The sequence below is a fragment of the Homo sapiens genome, chromosome 18 (genome assembly GCF_000001405.40).
Source record: "Homo sapiens chromosome 18, GRCh38.p14 Primary Assembly".
Classification (NCBI taxonomy): Eukaryota; Metazoa; Chordata; class Mammalia; order Primates; family Hominidae; genus Homo; species Homo sapiens.
The window spans coordinates 70,098,011-70,111,252 of NC_000018.10; the positions used below are offsets into that span (position 1 = coordinate 70,098,011).

Below are 13,242 nucleotides of genomic sequence, written 5' to 3' on the forward strand. Positions count from 1 at the left end.
GTAAAAGGTTGATAAATAGAGTATTTATAAATCACATGACAAAAAATGCTATAAACTAGGTACTTATAGGTTCAATTATATATTTTTTTTAATTTTTAAACTTTTAGGTTCACGGGTAACGTGAATGTTTGTTACACAAGTAAACTCATGAGAACAAAGTTACAACACATCAGAATCTCTGGGACACAGCTAAGGCAGTGTTAAGAGGGAAATTCGTAGCACTAAATGCCTCCATCAAAAAGTTAGAAAGATCTCAAATTAACAACTTAACATCACAACTGAAAGAATTAGAGCAGCAATAACAAATCAACCCCAAACTAGCAGAAGACAAGAAATAACCAAAATCAGAGCTGAACTGAAGGAAATCAAGATATGAAAAACCATTCGAAAGGTCACTAGATCCAGGAGTTGTTTTTTTGAAAAACTTAATGAGATAGATAGGCCACTAGCTAGACTAACTGAATTATATTTTAAATGCACTAGAGGAGCTGACTTTCTAAGAAATATTATCATTAACTCTTTAATATACCTGTTTTTTAAAATTCATACATTTCTAATAGACAGCAGAAAATAACTAATTAGTATACTGACAGTTGAACCTTTTTTAATATTTATAATTAAAAAATGAAGTTTATTTTATTTTTTTAATATACTTAAAGTTCTAGAGTACATGTGCACAACGTACAGGTTTGTTACATATGTATACATGTGCCATGTTGGTGTGCTGCACCTGTTAACTTGTCATTTATATTAGGTATATCTCCTGATGCTATCCCTCCACCCTCCTCCTACCCCATGACAGGCCCTGGTGTGTGATGTTCCCTACCCTGTTTCCAAGTTTTTCATTGTTCAATTCCCACTTATGAGCACGAACATGCAGTGTTCGGTTATCTGTCCTTGCGATAGTTTGCTGAGAACGATGGTTTCCAGCTTCATCCATGTCCCTACAAAGGACATGAACTCATCCTATTTTATGGCTGCATAGTATTACATGGTGTATATGTGCCAAATTTTCTTCACCCAGTCTATTGCTGATGGACATTTGGGCTAGTTCCATGAATATAGCAGCATGATTTATAATCCTTTGGGTATATACCCAGTAATGGAATGGCTGGGTAAAATGGTATTTCTAGTTCTAGATCCTTAAGGAATCACCACACTGTCTGCCACAATGGTTGAACTAGTTTACAGTTCCACCAACAGTGTAAAAATGTTCCTATTTCTCCACATCCTCTCCAGCACCTGTTGTTTCCTGACATTTTAATGTTGCCATTCTGACTGGTGTGAGATGGTTTCTCATTGTCGTTTTGATTTGCATTTCTCCGATGATGAGCATTCTTTCATGTGTCTGTTGGCTGCATAAATGTCTTCTTTTGAGAAGTGTCTGCTCATATCCTTCGCCCACTTTTTGATGGAGTTGTTTTTTTCTTGCAAAATTTCTTTAAGTTCTTTATAGATTCTGGATATTAGCCCTTTGTCAGATGCGTAGATTGCAAAAATTTTCTCCCATTCTGTAGGTTGCCTGTTCACTCTGATGGTAGTTTCTTTTGCTATGCAGAAGCTCTTTAGTTTAATTAGATCCCATTTGTCTATTTTGGCTTTTGTTGCCATTGCTTTTGGTATTTTAGTCATGAAGTCCTTGCCCATGCCTATGTCCTGAATGGTATTGCCTAGGTTTTCTTCTTGGGTTTTTATGGTTTTAGGTCTAACATTTAAGTCTTTAATCCATCTTGAATTAATTTTTGTGTAAGGTGTAAGGAAGGGATCCAGTTTCAGCTTTCTACATATGGCTAGCCAGTTTTCCCAGTACCATTTACTAAATACGGAATGCTTTCCCCATTTCTTCTTTTTGTCAGGTTTGTCAAAGATCAGATGGTTGTAGATGTGTGGTATTATTTCTGAGGGCTCTGTTCTGTTCCATTGGTCTATATCTCTGTTTTGGTACCAGTACCATGCTGTTTTGGTTACTGTAGCCTTGTAGTACAGTTTGAAGTCAGGTAGCGTGATGCCTCCAGCTTTGTTCTTTGGCTTAGGATTGTCTTGGCAATGCAGGCTCTTTTTTATTTCCATTTGAACTTTAAAGTAGTTTTTTCCAATTCTGTGAAGAAAGTCATTGGTAGCTTGATGAAGGTGGCATTGAATCTATAAATTACCTTGGCCAGTATGGCCATTTTCATGATATTGATTCTTCCTATCCACAAGCATGGAATGTTCTTCCATTTGTTTGTGTCCTCTTTTATTTCCTTGAGCAGTGGTTTGCAGTTCTCCTTGAAGACGTCCTTCACATCCCTTGTAAGTTGGATTCCTAGGTATTTTATTCTCTTTGAAGCAATTGTGAATGGGAGTTCACTCATGATTTAGCTGTTTGTCTGTTATTGGTGTATAGGAATGCTTGTGACTTCTGCACATTGATTTTTTGTATCCTGCGACTTTGCTGAAGTTGCTTATCAGCTTAAGGAGATTTTGGGCTGAGACGATGGGGTTTTCTAAATATACAATCATGTCATCTGCAAACAGGGACAATTTGACTTCCTCTTTTCCTAACTGAATACCCTTTCTTTCTTTCTCCTGCCTGATTACCCTGGCCAGAACTTCCAACACTGTTGAATAGGAGTGGTGAGAGAGGGCATCCCTGTCTTGTGCCAGTTTTCAAAGGGAATGCTTCCAGTTTTTGCCCATTCAGTATGATATTGGCTGTGGGTCTGTCATAAATAGCTCTTATTATTGCGAGATACGTCCCATCAATACCTAATTTACTGAGAGTTTTTAGCATGAAGGGCTGTTGAATTTTGTCAATGGCCTTTTCTGCATCTATTGAGATAATCATGTGGTTTTTGTCTTTGGTTCTGTTTATATGATGGGTTACGTTTATTGATCTGTGCATGTTGAACCAGCCTTGCATCCCAGGGATGAAGCCCACTTGATCATGGTGGATAAGCTTTTTCATGTGCTGCTGGATTCAGTTTGCCAGTATTTTATTGAGGATTTTTGCACTGATGTTCATCAGGGATATGGTCTAAAATTCTCTTTTTTTGTTGTCTCTCTGCCAGGCTTTGGTATCAGGATGATGCTGGCCTCATAAAATGAGTTAGGGAGGATTCCCTCTTTTTCTATTGACTGGAATAGTTTCAGAAGGAATGGTACTAGCTCCTCTTCGTACCTCTGGTAGAATTCAGCTGTGAATCCATCTGGTCCTGGACTTTTTTTGGTTGGTAGGCTAATAATTATTGCCTCAATTTCAGAGCCTGTTATTGATCTATTCAGAAATTGAACTTCTTCCTGGTTTAGTCTTCGGAGGGTGTATGTGTCCAGAAATTTATCCATTTCTTCTAGATTTTCTAGTTTATTTGCATAGAGGAGTTTATAGTATTGTCTGATAGTAGTTTGTATTTCTGTGGGATCGGTGTTGATATCCCCTTTATCATTTTTTATTGCATCTATTTGATTCTTCTCTCTTTTCTTCTTTATTAGTCTTGCTAGTGGTGTATCTATTTTGTTGATCTTTTCAAAAAACCAGCTCCTGGATTCACCAATTTTTTTTAAGGGTTTTTGTGTCTGTACCTCCTTCATTTCTGCTCTGTTCTTAGTTATTTCTTGCCTTCTGCTAGCTTTTGAATGTGTTTACTCTTGCTTTTCTACTTCTTTTAACTGTGATGTTAGGGTGTCAATTTTAGATCTTTCCTGCTTTCTCCTGTGGGCATTTAGTGCTATAAATTTCCCTTTACACACTGCTTTAAATGTGTCCCAGAAATTCTGGTATATTGTGTCTTTGTTCTCACTGGTTTCAAAGAGCATCTTTATTTCTGCCTTCATTTCGTTACGTACCCAGTAGTCATTCAGGAGCAGGTTGTTCAGTTTCCATGTAGTTGAGCTGTTCTGAGTGAGTTTCTTAATCCTGAGTTCCAGTTTGATTGCACTGTGGTTTGAGACACAGTTTATCATAACTTCTGTTCTTTTTCATTTGCTGAGGAGTGCTTTAATTCCAACTATGTGGTCAATTTTGGAATAAGTGTGATGTGGTGCTGAGAAGAATGTACATTCTGTTGATTTGGGGTGGAGAGTTCTGTAGATGCCTATTAGGTCCACTTGGTGCAGAGCTGAGTTCAAGTCCTGGATATCCTTGTTAACTTTCTGTCTCACTGATCTGTCTAATGTTGACAGTGGGGTGTTAAAGTCTCCCATTATTATTGTGTGGAGTCCAAGTCTCTTTGTAGGTCTCTAAGGACTTGCTTTATGAATCTGGGTGCTCCTGTACTGGGTGCATATATATTTAGGATAGTTAGCTCTTCTTCTTGAACTGATCCCTTTACCATTATGTAATGGCCTTGTCTCTTTAGATCTTTGTTGGTTTAAAGTCTGTTTTATCGGAGAGAGGATTGCAACCCCTGCCTTTTTTTGTTTTCCATTTGCTTGGTTGATCTTCCTCCATCCCTTTATTTTGAGCCTATGTATGTCTCTGCACGTGAGATGAGTCTCCTGAATATAGCACACTGATGGGTCTTGACTCTTTATCCAACTTCCCAGTCTGTATCTTTTAATTGGAGCATTTAGACCATTTACATTTAAGGTTAATATTGTTATGTGTGAATTCAATCCTGTCATCATGATGTTAGCTGGTTATTTTGCTCGTTAGTTGATACAGTTTCTTCCTAGCATCAATGGTCTTTACAAGTTGGCATGTTTTTGCAGTGGCTGGTACCGCTTGTTCCTTTCCATGTTTAGTGATTCCTTCAGGAGCTCTTGTAAGGCAGGCCTGATGGTGACAAATCTCTCAGCATTTGCTTGTCTGTAAAAGATTTTATTTCTCCTTCACTTATGAAACTTAGTTTGGCAGGATATGAAATTCTGGGTTGAAAATTCTTTTCTTTAAGAATGTTGAGCCTGGCTGCCCCGTCTGGGAAGTGAGGAGCGCCTCTGCCCGGGCGCCCCGTCTGGGAAGTGAGGAGCGCCTCTGCCCAGCTGTCCAGTCTGGGAAGTGGGGAGCGCCTCTGCCCAGGCGCCCCGTCTGGGAAGTGAGGAGCGCCTCTGCCCAGCTGTCCCGTCTGGGAAGTGAGGAGCGCCTCTGCCCGGCTGCCCCGTCTGGGATGTGAGGAGCGCCTCTGCCCAGCCGCCACCCCGTCTGGGAAGTGAGGATCGCCTCTGCCTGGCCGCCTCGTCTGGGAAGTGAGGAGCGCCTCTGCCTGGCCGCTGTGCAATCTTCCAAGCATGAAGTGACAGCCTGTCTGCAGGGGTACCCAACAGCTCTGAAGAGACAGCGACCATCGAGAACGGGCCATGATGACTATGGCAGTTTTGTCAAAAAGAAAAGGGGGAAATGTGGGGAAAAGAAAGAGAGATCAGATTGTTACTGTGTCTGTGTAGAAAGAAGTAGACATAGCAGACTCCATTTTGTTCTGTACTAAGAAAAATTTTTCTGCCTTGGGATGCTGTTAATCTATAACCTTACCCCCAACCACGTGCTCTCTGAAACATGTGCTGTGTCAACTCAGGGTTAAATGGATTAAGGGCGGTGCAAGATGTGCTTTGTTAAACAGATGCTTGAAGGCAGCATGCTGGTCAAGAGTCACCACCACTCCCTAATCTCAAGTACCCAGGGACACAGACACTGCGGAAGGCCACAGGGACCTCTGCCTAGGAAAACCAGAGACCTTTGTTCAAGTGTTTATCTGCTGACCTTCTCTCCACTATTATCCTATGACCCTGCCACATCCCCCTCTCCGAGAAACACCCAAGAATGATCAATAAATACTTCAAAAAAAAAAAAAAAAGCAAATCATAAAAAAAAAAGAATGTTGAATATTGGCCCCCACTCTCTTCTGGCTTATAGAGTTTCTGCCGAGAGATCCGCTGTTAGTCTGACGGGCTTCCCTTTGCGTGTAACGGGACCTTTCTCTCTGGCTGCCCTTAATATTTTTTCTGTCATTTCAACTTTGGTGAATCCGACAATTATGTGCCTTGGAGTTGCTCTTCTCAAGGAGTATCTTTGTGGCGTTCTCTGTATTTCCTGAATTTGAATGTTGGCCTGCCTTGCTAGGTTGGGGAAGTTCTCCTGGATAATATCCTGAAGAGCGTTTTCCAACTTGGTTCCATTCTCCCCGTCACTTTCAGGTACAACAATCAAATGTAGATTTGGTCTTTTCACATAGTCCCGTATTTCTTGGAGGCTTTGTTTGTTTCTTTTTATTCTTTTTTCTCTAAACTTCTCTTCTCGCTTCATTTCATTCATTTGATCTTCAATCACTGATACCCTTTCTTCCACTTGATCAAATCAGCTACTGAAGCTTGTGCATATGTCATGTAGTTCTTGTGCCATGATTTTCAGCTCCATCAGGTCATTTAAGGTCTTCTCTATACTGTTTATTCTAGTTAGCCATTCGTCTAATCTTTCTTCAAGGTTTTTAGCTTCTTTGTGATGGGTTCGAACATCCTCCTTTAGCTTGGAGAAGTTTGTTATTACCAATCTTCTGAAGCCTTCTTCTCTCAACTCGTCAAAGTCATTCTCCGTCCAGCTTTGTTCCGTTGCTGACAAGGAGCTGTGTTCCTCTGCAGGAGAAGAGGTGCTCTGATTTTTAGAATTTTCAGCTTTTCTGCTCTGTTTTTTCCCCATCTTTGTGGTTTTATCTATCTTTGGTCTTTGATGATGGTGACGTACAGATGGGGTTTTGGTGTGGATGTCCTTTCTGTTTGTTAGTTTTCCTTCTAACAGTCAGGACCCTCAGCTGCAGGTCTGCTGGAGTTTGCTGGAGGTCCACTCCAGACCCTGTTTGCCTGGGTATCACCAGCGGAGGCTGCAGAAGAGCAAATGTTACAGAACAGCAAATGTTGCTGCCTGATCCTTCCTCTGGAAGCTTCGTCTCAAGAGGGGCACCCGGCTGTATGAGGTGTCAGTTGGCCCCTACTGGGAAGTGTCTCCCAGTTAGGCTACTCGGGGGTTGGGGACCCACTTGAGGAGGCTGTCTGTCTGTTCTCAGATCTCAAACTCTGTAACGGGAGAACCAGTACTCTCTTCAAAGCTGTCAGACAGGGACGTTTAAGTCTACAGAGGTTTCTGCTGCCTTTTGTTCAGCTATGCCCTGCCCCCAGAAGTGGAGTCTACAGAGGCAGGCAGGCCTCCTTCAGCTGTGGTGGGTTCCACCCAGTTCGAGCTTCCCGGCCGCTTTGATTACCTACTCAAGCCTCAGCAATGGCGGACACCCCTCCCCCAGCCTCGCTGCCACCTTGCAGTTCGATCTCAGACTGCTGTGCTAGCAGTGAGCGAGGCTCTATAGGCGTGGGACCCTCCAAGCCAGGCGTGGGATATAATCTCCTAGTGTATTGTTTGCTAAGACCATTGGAAAAGCACAGTATTAGGGTGGAAGTGTCCCAATTTTCCAGGTACCATGTGTCACGGCTTCCCTTGGCTTGGAAAAGGAATTCCCTGACCTCTTACGCTTCCTGGGTGAGGCGATGCCCCGCCCTGCTTCTGCTCACAGTCCGTGGGCTGCACCCACTGTCCGACAAGCCCCAGTGAGATGAACCCGGTACCTCAGCTGGAAATGCAAAAATCACCCGTCTTCTGCGTCGCTCATGCTGGGAGCTGTAGACTAGAGCTGTTCCTATTTGGCCATCTTGGAACCTCTCCGAAATTTATTTTATTAAAGGGACTCCAGTGAAATTCATATTAAATTTTACAGTACAGCAAAGAGTATTTATGATCTTTAAACTTGTTTTAAAAACAATATGTGCTTTTGGAAAAAAGTTCTAGATAAGACCAGATAAAATATATATATACATTATTTAAATCATTATTTAGTAATAAAAATACAACAATAAAACATATTTTTATAATCATTTATGCTACATTTCCAAAATGTTTTTCAAACTGTATCTTAATTTAAAAACTATACACAATATATATGTATTATGTAGCACATATATTAATTAACTGATTCACTAACCACTATGTAAAAACCATGGTGCTAGGTCAATGCAGTAGCCATGGGATAGTAGAAATAGCCCAAAGATGATACTTATAAGCTCATAGTCTACTAGAGCAATGCAGAAAACAAAATAAAGGTCCAGTTACAGTGGCTCATGCCTGTAATAGCAGCACTTTGGTAGGCCAAAGTGGGAAGATCATTTGCGCCAAAGAATTCAAGACAAACCTGGGCAACATAGTGAGACCCATCTCTACAAAAAAATTAAACCAGCCAGGTGTAGTGGTGCACACCTGTGGCCCCAGCTACTTGGGAGGCTGAGGTGGGAAGATCACTTGGGCTCAGGAGGTTGAGGCTGTAGTGAGCTGTGATTGCACCACTGCATTCCAGCCTGAGCAACACGGTAAACCCTGTCTCAAAGAAATAAAGTAAAATAAATAAAAATATAATGTATTAAGTAATAGCCACATATATAAATTGTTACAGGTATATAACCTACAGGAAAGGCCAAACAGTATTAGGTAAGTATCCAACCTTGGAAGAATAAGAAAAGGTTTACTAAATGAAGGTAAATAAATAAGTTAGATCTTAAATTTTTTGTAGATATTGCCATCCCTAAAAGAGAGGAAACTATGTGAAAGAAGCAGTCTTTTTAAAGTGCATTTTTATTTTGGAAAAACAGCCAGATATAACTGAAAATTCAGAGATGTGGGAAAAAACTACAATGGAGGCAAATCTCTAAATGCAAAATATTGAGTCTTATGCTCTTGAAAAAAAAAGAGGTTTGGATTGAAAAATTTATGTTTCTGAAAAATAATCTGGCAATAGGTAGAGATTATATGATGTCAAGAAGTCACCCACAGCATGAAAAAAAAACAGGAGGTTATAGATACAATTTTATCAGAAAATTCCATGTCTAGAATGTCTATTGCTATCACTATCAATTTACTTATCTTTCAAAATCTAACTCTACAGTGCTTCCTACAAGAATCATTCTTGAGGTCCGAACACAGTTAGCAATCAAAACAAGGCTGACAGATTTGTCCAGTAAGAAAACAATGAGTAATTTTTGGATTCAGACAGTTTATTACCTACATAAACAGCAAAAGCAAGAATAGACAAAGGTGCCAGCTACTAGTATCCCTTGCACAGGATGACATTGAAACAAAGGGGCCAGATGACTATAACAAAGATGTAGGACACTCTGTTGCGGAGAAGCCCATGCCGTGCTGCAGTAAAGCAGTTTTATAAGCTGTAGCTATGCCCCAAGGAGAGCAAGGCAGAAAGCCCAGTGCTCGTCGGAACCTAGGAACCAATAAGAAACGGGCTCCTAACTGACTTCCTAATAGACTGTGAAGTAAGTGAGAATCAATCTTGCATAGTCAGCTGCTCATAAGCCTTTCATATTCTCATGTTCCAGAAGGATCACAGGAAATTCTGCCAAGATTTAGATTGGCTGTAGTTAAGCCTTGTCTATGAAGCCCAAGGGCAGATATGCAAAATTGTCAGGCCACTGTGATGAGGCTGTTCTCATAGAACTATGTACAACCATATCATTGTCGTATTTATTATATCACAGTAGAAATATTTTGACCTAAATTGATGATAAAAACATGGCATAAGGCCATGCTTAGAGGATTAGAGCTAAAAACACACATTTGAGAAAGACTTTTAAAAAAATCAATGACGTAAGCCTCTACCTTAAAATGTTAGAAAAAAGAGCTGTAAACTAAACTAAAAGTAGAAGGAGATAATAAATATTGGCAGAAATAAAACAGGAGAAAAAAGTTAAAGAGAGGCTCAACAAAGCCAAAGGTTCATTCTATTAGAAAGATAAACCAAGAAAAATTGAGAAAGGAATAATTAATGTCTGCAATGAAAGGGGACCTCACTACAGATTCAGCAGACATTAAAAGTGTAAGATGATTTGATGAATACCTTCACAGTAACAAATTTTAAAAATTAGATAAAAAGTTTTTAAGTTCTACAAAAACATAACTTACTAAGGCTGACACACATAAAAAGAAACTCTGAACGATTTTAGATCTATTTAAAAAGTCATTTCAGGCCAGGCGCAGTGGCTCACACCCGTAATCCCAGCACTTTGGGAGGCCAAGACGGGTGTGGATCACCTGAGATCAGGAGTTCGACACCAGCCTGGCCAACCTGGTGAAACCCTGTCTCTACTAAAAAGACAAAAATTAGCTGTGCGTGGTGGCAGGCGCCTGTAATCCCAGCTACTTGGGAGGCTGAGGCAGGAGAATCACTTGAACCCGGGAGGCAGAGGTTGCAGTGAGCTGAGATCATGCCATTGCACTCCAGCCTGGGCAACAGAGCAAGACTCTGTCTCAAAAAAAAAAAAAGTCATTTCATTTCACAATTTACAATCTTCCCAAAAAGAAAACTGCAAACCAAGATTGTTTCACGATCAAATTCTACCTAACATTAGAGAACAAAATCACACCAATGCAAATCAGCTATTCCAAAAAAGAAAGTTATATAAAGGAAAAGATTTAAAATGGTTGAAAAAGTCACGTTCTTACAATCTCACATTCTCCCATTTTAGTCATAAGAACGGAATGATTTTGATTATTAAAAACCTGACAAATTCTTTAAGAGAAAAAAGATGCAAAATTCGAAAAACTTTTTTACATGAGGAAATAGAATAATTCTAAAAACTTCAGAATTCTAAAAAATTGAGAAACGAAATCCACTAACATATAAAAAGAGTAATACATCACAACCTAACTGAAATGTTTCGAGAAATGCAAGGTTGTTTAACATTTTAAAATCAATCAGTAATGGAATATAAGGGAAAAATCATGTGATTATCTTAAAAGATACAGAAAAAAGCAATATACAATTATGAATTAAAAAACAAAGCTCCTAGCAAAACAGGACAAAAGAAAACTTCCTTAACTTGATCTTTCTTAATTGACAAAAAAAAACTATAAACAGCATACTGAAGGGTGAAAAATTAAAGGCTTTTGTTTTGATATTGGAAATAAGAATTGCCTGATACATGGTCAACATATAAAAATTGGCTATATTTACATATTTCAATAACAGAAGATAAAATTTCAAAAAAGATGCTCATTTTCACCAAAAGATAAGAATGTTCATAGCAGTAGCATCTAGAACTGCACAAACTGGAAGAAAAAGAAAAAACAAATATCCTTTAACATTGTACAGCCTGAGTATGCCGTATACAAAATGCTTGGGACCAGAAGTGTTTGAATTTTGGAGTTGTTTGGATTTTGAAATACCTGTATCATATACTTACTGGTTGAGCATTCCTAATCCAAAAATCCAAAATCTGAAATGCTCTAGCGAACACTTCCTTTGAGCATCAAAAGTTTCCATTTATTTCTTTTGAAAATGAGGGTATTTATAAAAGTGACCTTCCTTACTTAACTATTAATAAAAATCACTAAAACATTTCACTATTATGACTTATATAAATAATGTATAATATTCTACATTGAATAGAGTAACGTATAATGCACTTGTGGCCTGGCATAAAGTAAAAGCAACTAATAGTAAATAACTACCATATGCTATTTTTACTTACCTCAAGGAGACCTGACAAGTACTTCACACAGATATCTAGAGGCTTTGTGAGAGGAGAGTGTGAGCTCCATCCCGGAAACGCAGTGAGGTTAGCCATCCCTCGTAAGGTCCGCTCAAGGGACGGCAGGCCATAGAAATGAGGCGCATCCGTCACTTTCAGACACTGGAGCAGTTTCAGAGCCAGCTGCGTTTGAAAAACGTAAAGAAGTTCCGAGCATTTCCTATGTATGCAAAAGAGGGAAAATCAACCACCAAGAAAGTATAATGGGCTTAATGGGCTATCTTACTGGCTATAAAAGGTTACTTAAACTCATAGTAATAGAAAAAAATGAACCAGACAAAATGGCAGAAAATAGTCTCTATCAAAATGAGACTTTTCAAGGAAAGCATAAAATACCAACTAGAGAATGTCATATAAAATACAAGTAACGATTACACTGGGCCAGGGGCTGTGGCTCACCCCTATAATCCCAGTGCCTTGGGAGCCTGAGGTGGGAGGATTGCTTGCGGCCAGCTTGAGCAACACAACACAGTGAGACCTCATTTCTAAAAAAATGAAATAAAATAAAATTAAAGTAAAAAAAATTAGCCAGGTGTGGTGGTGCACACCTATAGTCCCAGCTACTCAGGAAGCTGAGGCAGGAGGATCTCTTAAGCCCTGGAGCTTGAGGTTACAGTGAACTAAGAATGTGTCACTGCACTCCAGCCGGGGTGACATAGTGAGACCCCCATCCCTTTTTAAAAAAAAAAAAAAAAAGGTTGGGGGGATTGCTGGCAAGATGGTCAAATAGGAATAGCTCCAGTCTGCAGCTCCCGGCAAGATCGACGCAGAAGGCGGGTGATTTCTGCATTTCCAACTAAGGTACCCGGTTCATCTCACTGGGACTGGTTGGACAGTGGGTGCAGGGCACAGAGGGCAAGCTGAAGCAGGGTGGAGCATCGCCTCACCTGGGAAGCGCAAGGGGTCGGGGAATTTTCTCCACCACCCAAGGGAAGCCGTGACAGACTGAGCCTGAGGAACTCCTGCACAGATACTGCGCTTGTCCCACGGTTTTCGCAACCTACAAACCAGGAGATTCCCTCGGTTGCCTACCCTACCAGAGCCCTAGGTTTCAAGCACAAAACTGGGCGGCCATTTGGGCAGACACCAAACAAGCTGCAGTAGTTCTTTTTTCCCATACCCCAGTGGCGCCTGGAACAGCAGCGAGACAGAAGTGTTCACTCCGCTGGAAAGGGGTGCTGAAGCCAGGGAGCCAAGTGGTCTGGCTCAGCAGGTCCCACTCCCACGGAGCCCAGCAAACTAAGATTCACTGGCTTGAAATTCTCGTTGCCAGCACAGCAGCAGTCTGAGATTGACCTGGGACGCTAGAGCTTGGTGAGGGGACGGGCGTCCGCCATTGCCGAGGCTTGAGTAGGCAGTTTTACACTCACAGTGTAAACTAAGCCACTGGGAAGTTCGAACTGGGCAGAGCCCACTGCAGCTCAACAAGGCTGCCATGGCCAGATTGCCAGATTTCCCTTGTCTGGGCAGGGCATCTCTGAAAAAGTGGCAGCAACCCCAGACAGGGACTTATAGATAAAACCCCCATCTCCCTGGGACAGAGCACCTGGAGAAAGGGGAGGCTGTGGGCGCAACTTCATCAGATTTAAACATCCCTGCCTGACGACTCTGAAGAGAGCAGTGGACCTCCCAGCACACCGATCAAGCTCTGCTAAGGGTCAGACTGCCTCCTCAAGTGGGTCCCTGACCCCCGTG

The 13,242-nt window shown here is 40.9% G+C and overlaps 1 protein-coding gene across 19 annotated transcripts in view; it reads right to left on the reverse strand.

The window, feature by feature from the left end:
- The window catches only part of RTTN (rotatin), a 202,657-nt gene that overhangs the window by 94,980 nt on the left and 94,435 nt on the right, over positions 1 to 13,242 (reverse strand). For all 19 annotated transcript variants that reach the window (XR_430072.4, XR_007066140.1, NM_001318520.2 and 16 more), the window contains one exon: positions 11,488 to 11,707. Coding sequence is in view for 17 of the 19 variants with exons in the window: in NM_001318520.2 (NP_001305449.1) it covers positions 11,488 to 11,707 (220 nt within the window). In the remaining 2 variants the exon portion in view is untranslated. Of the gene's footprint in view, positions 1 to 11,487; positions 11,708 to 13,242 lie in introns of those variants that run through there.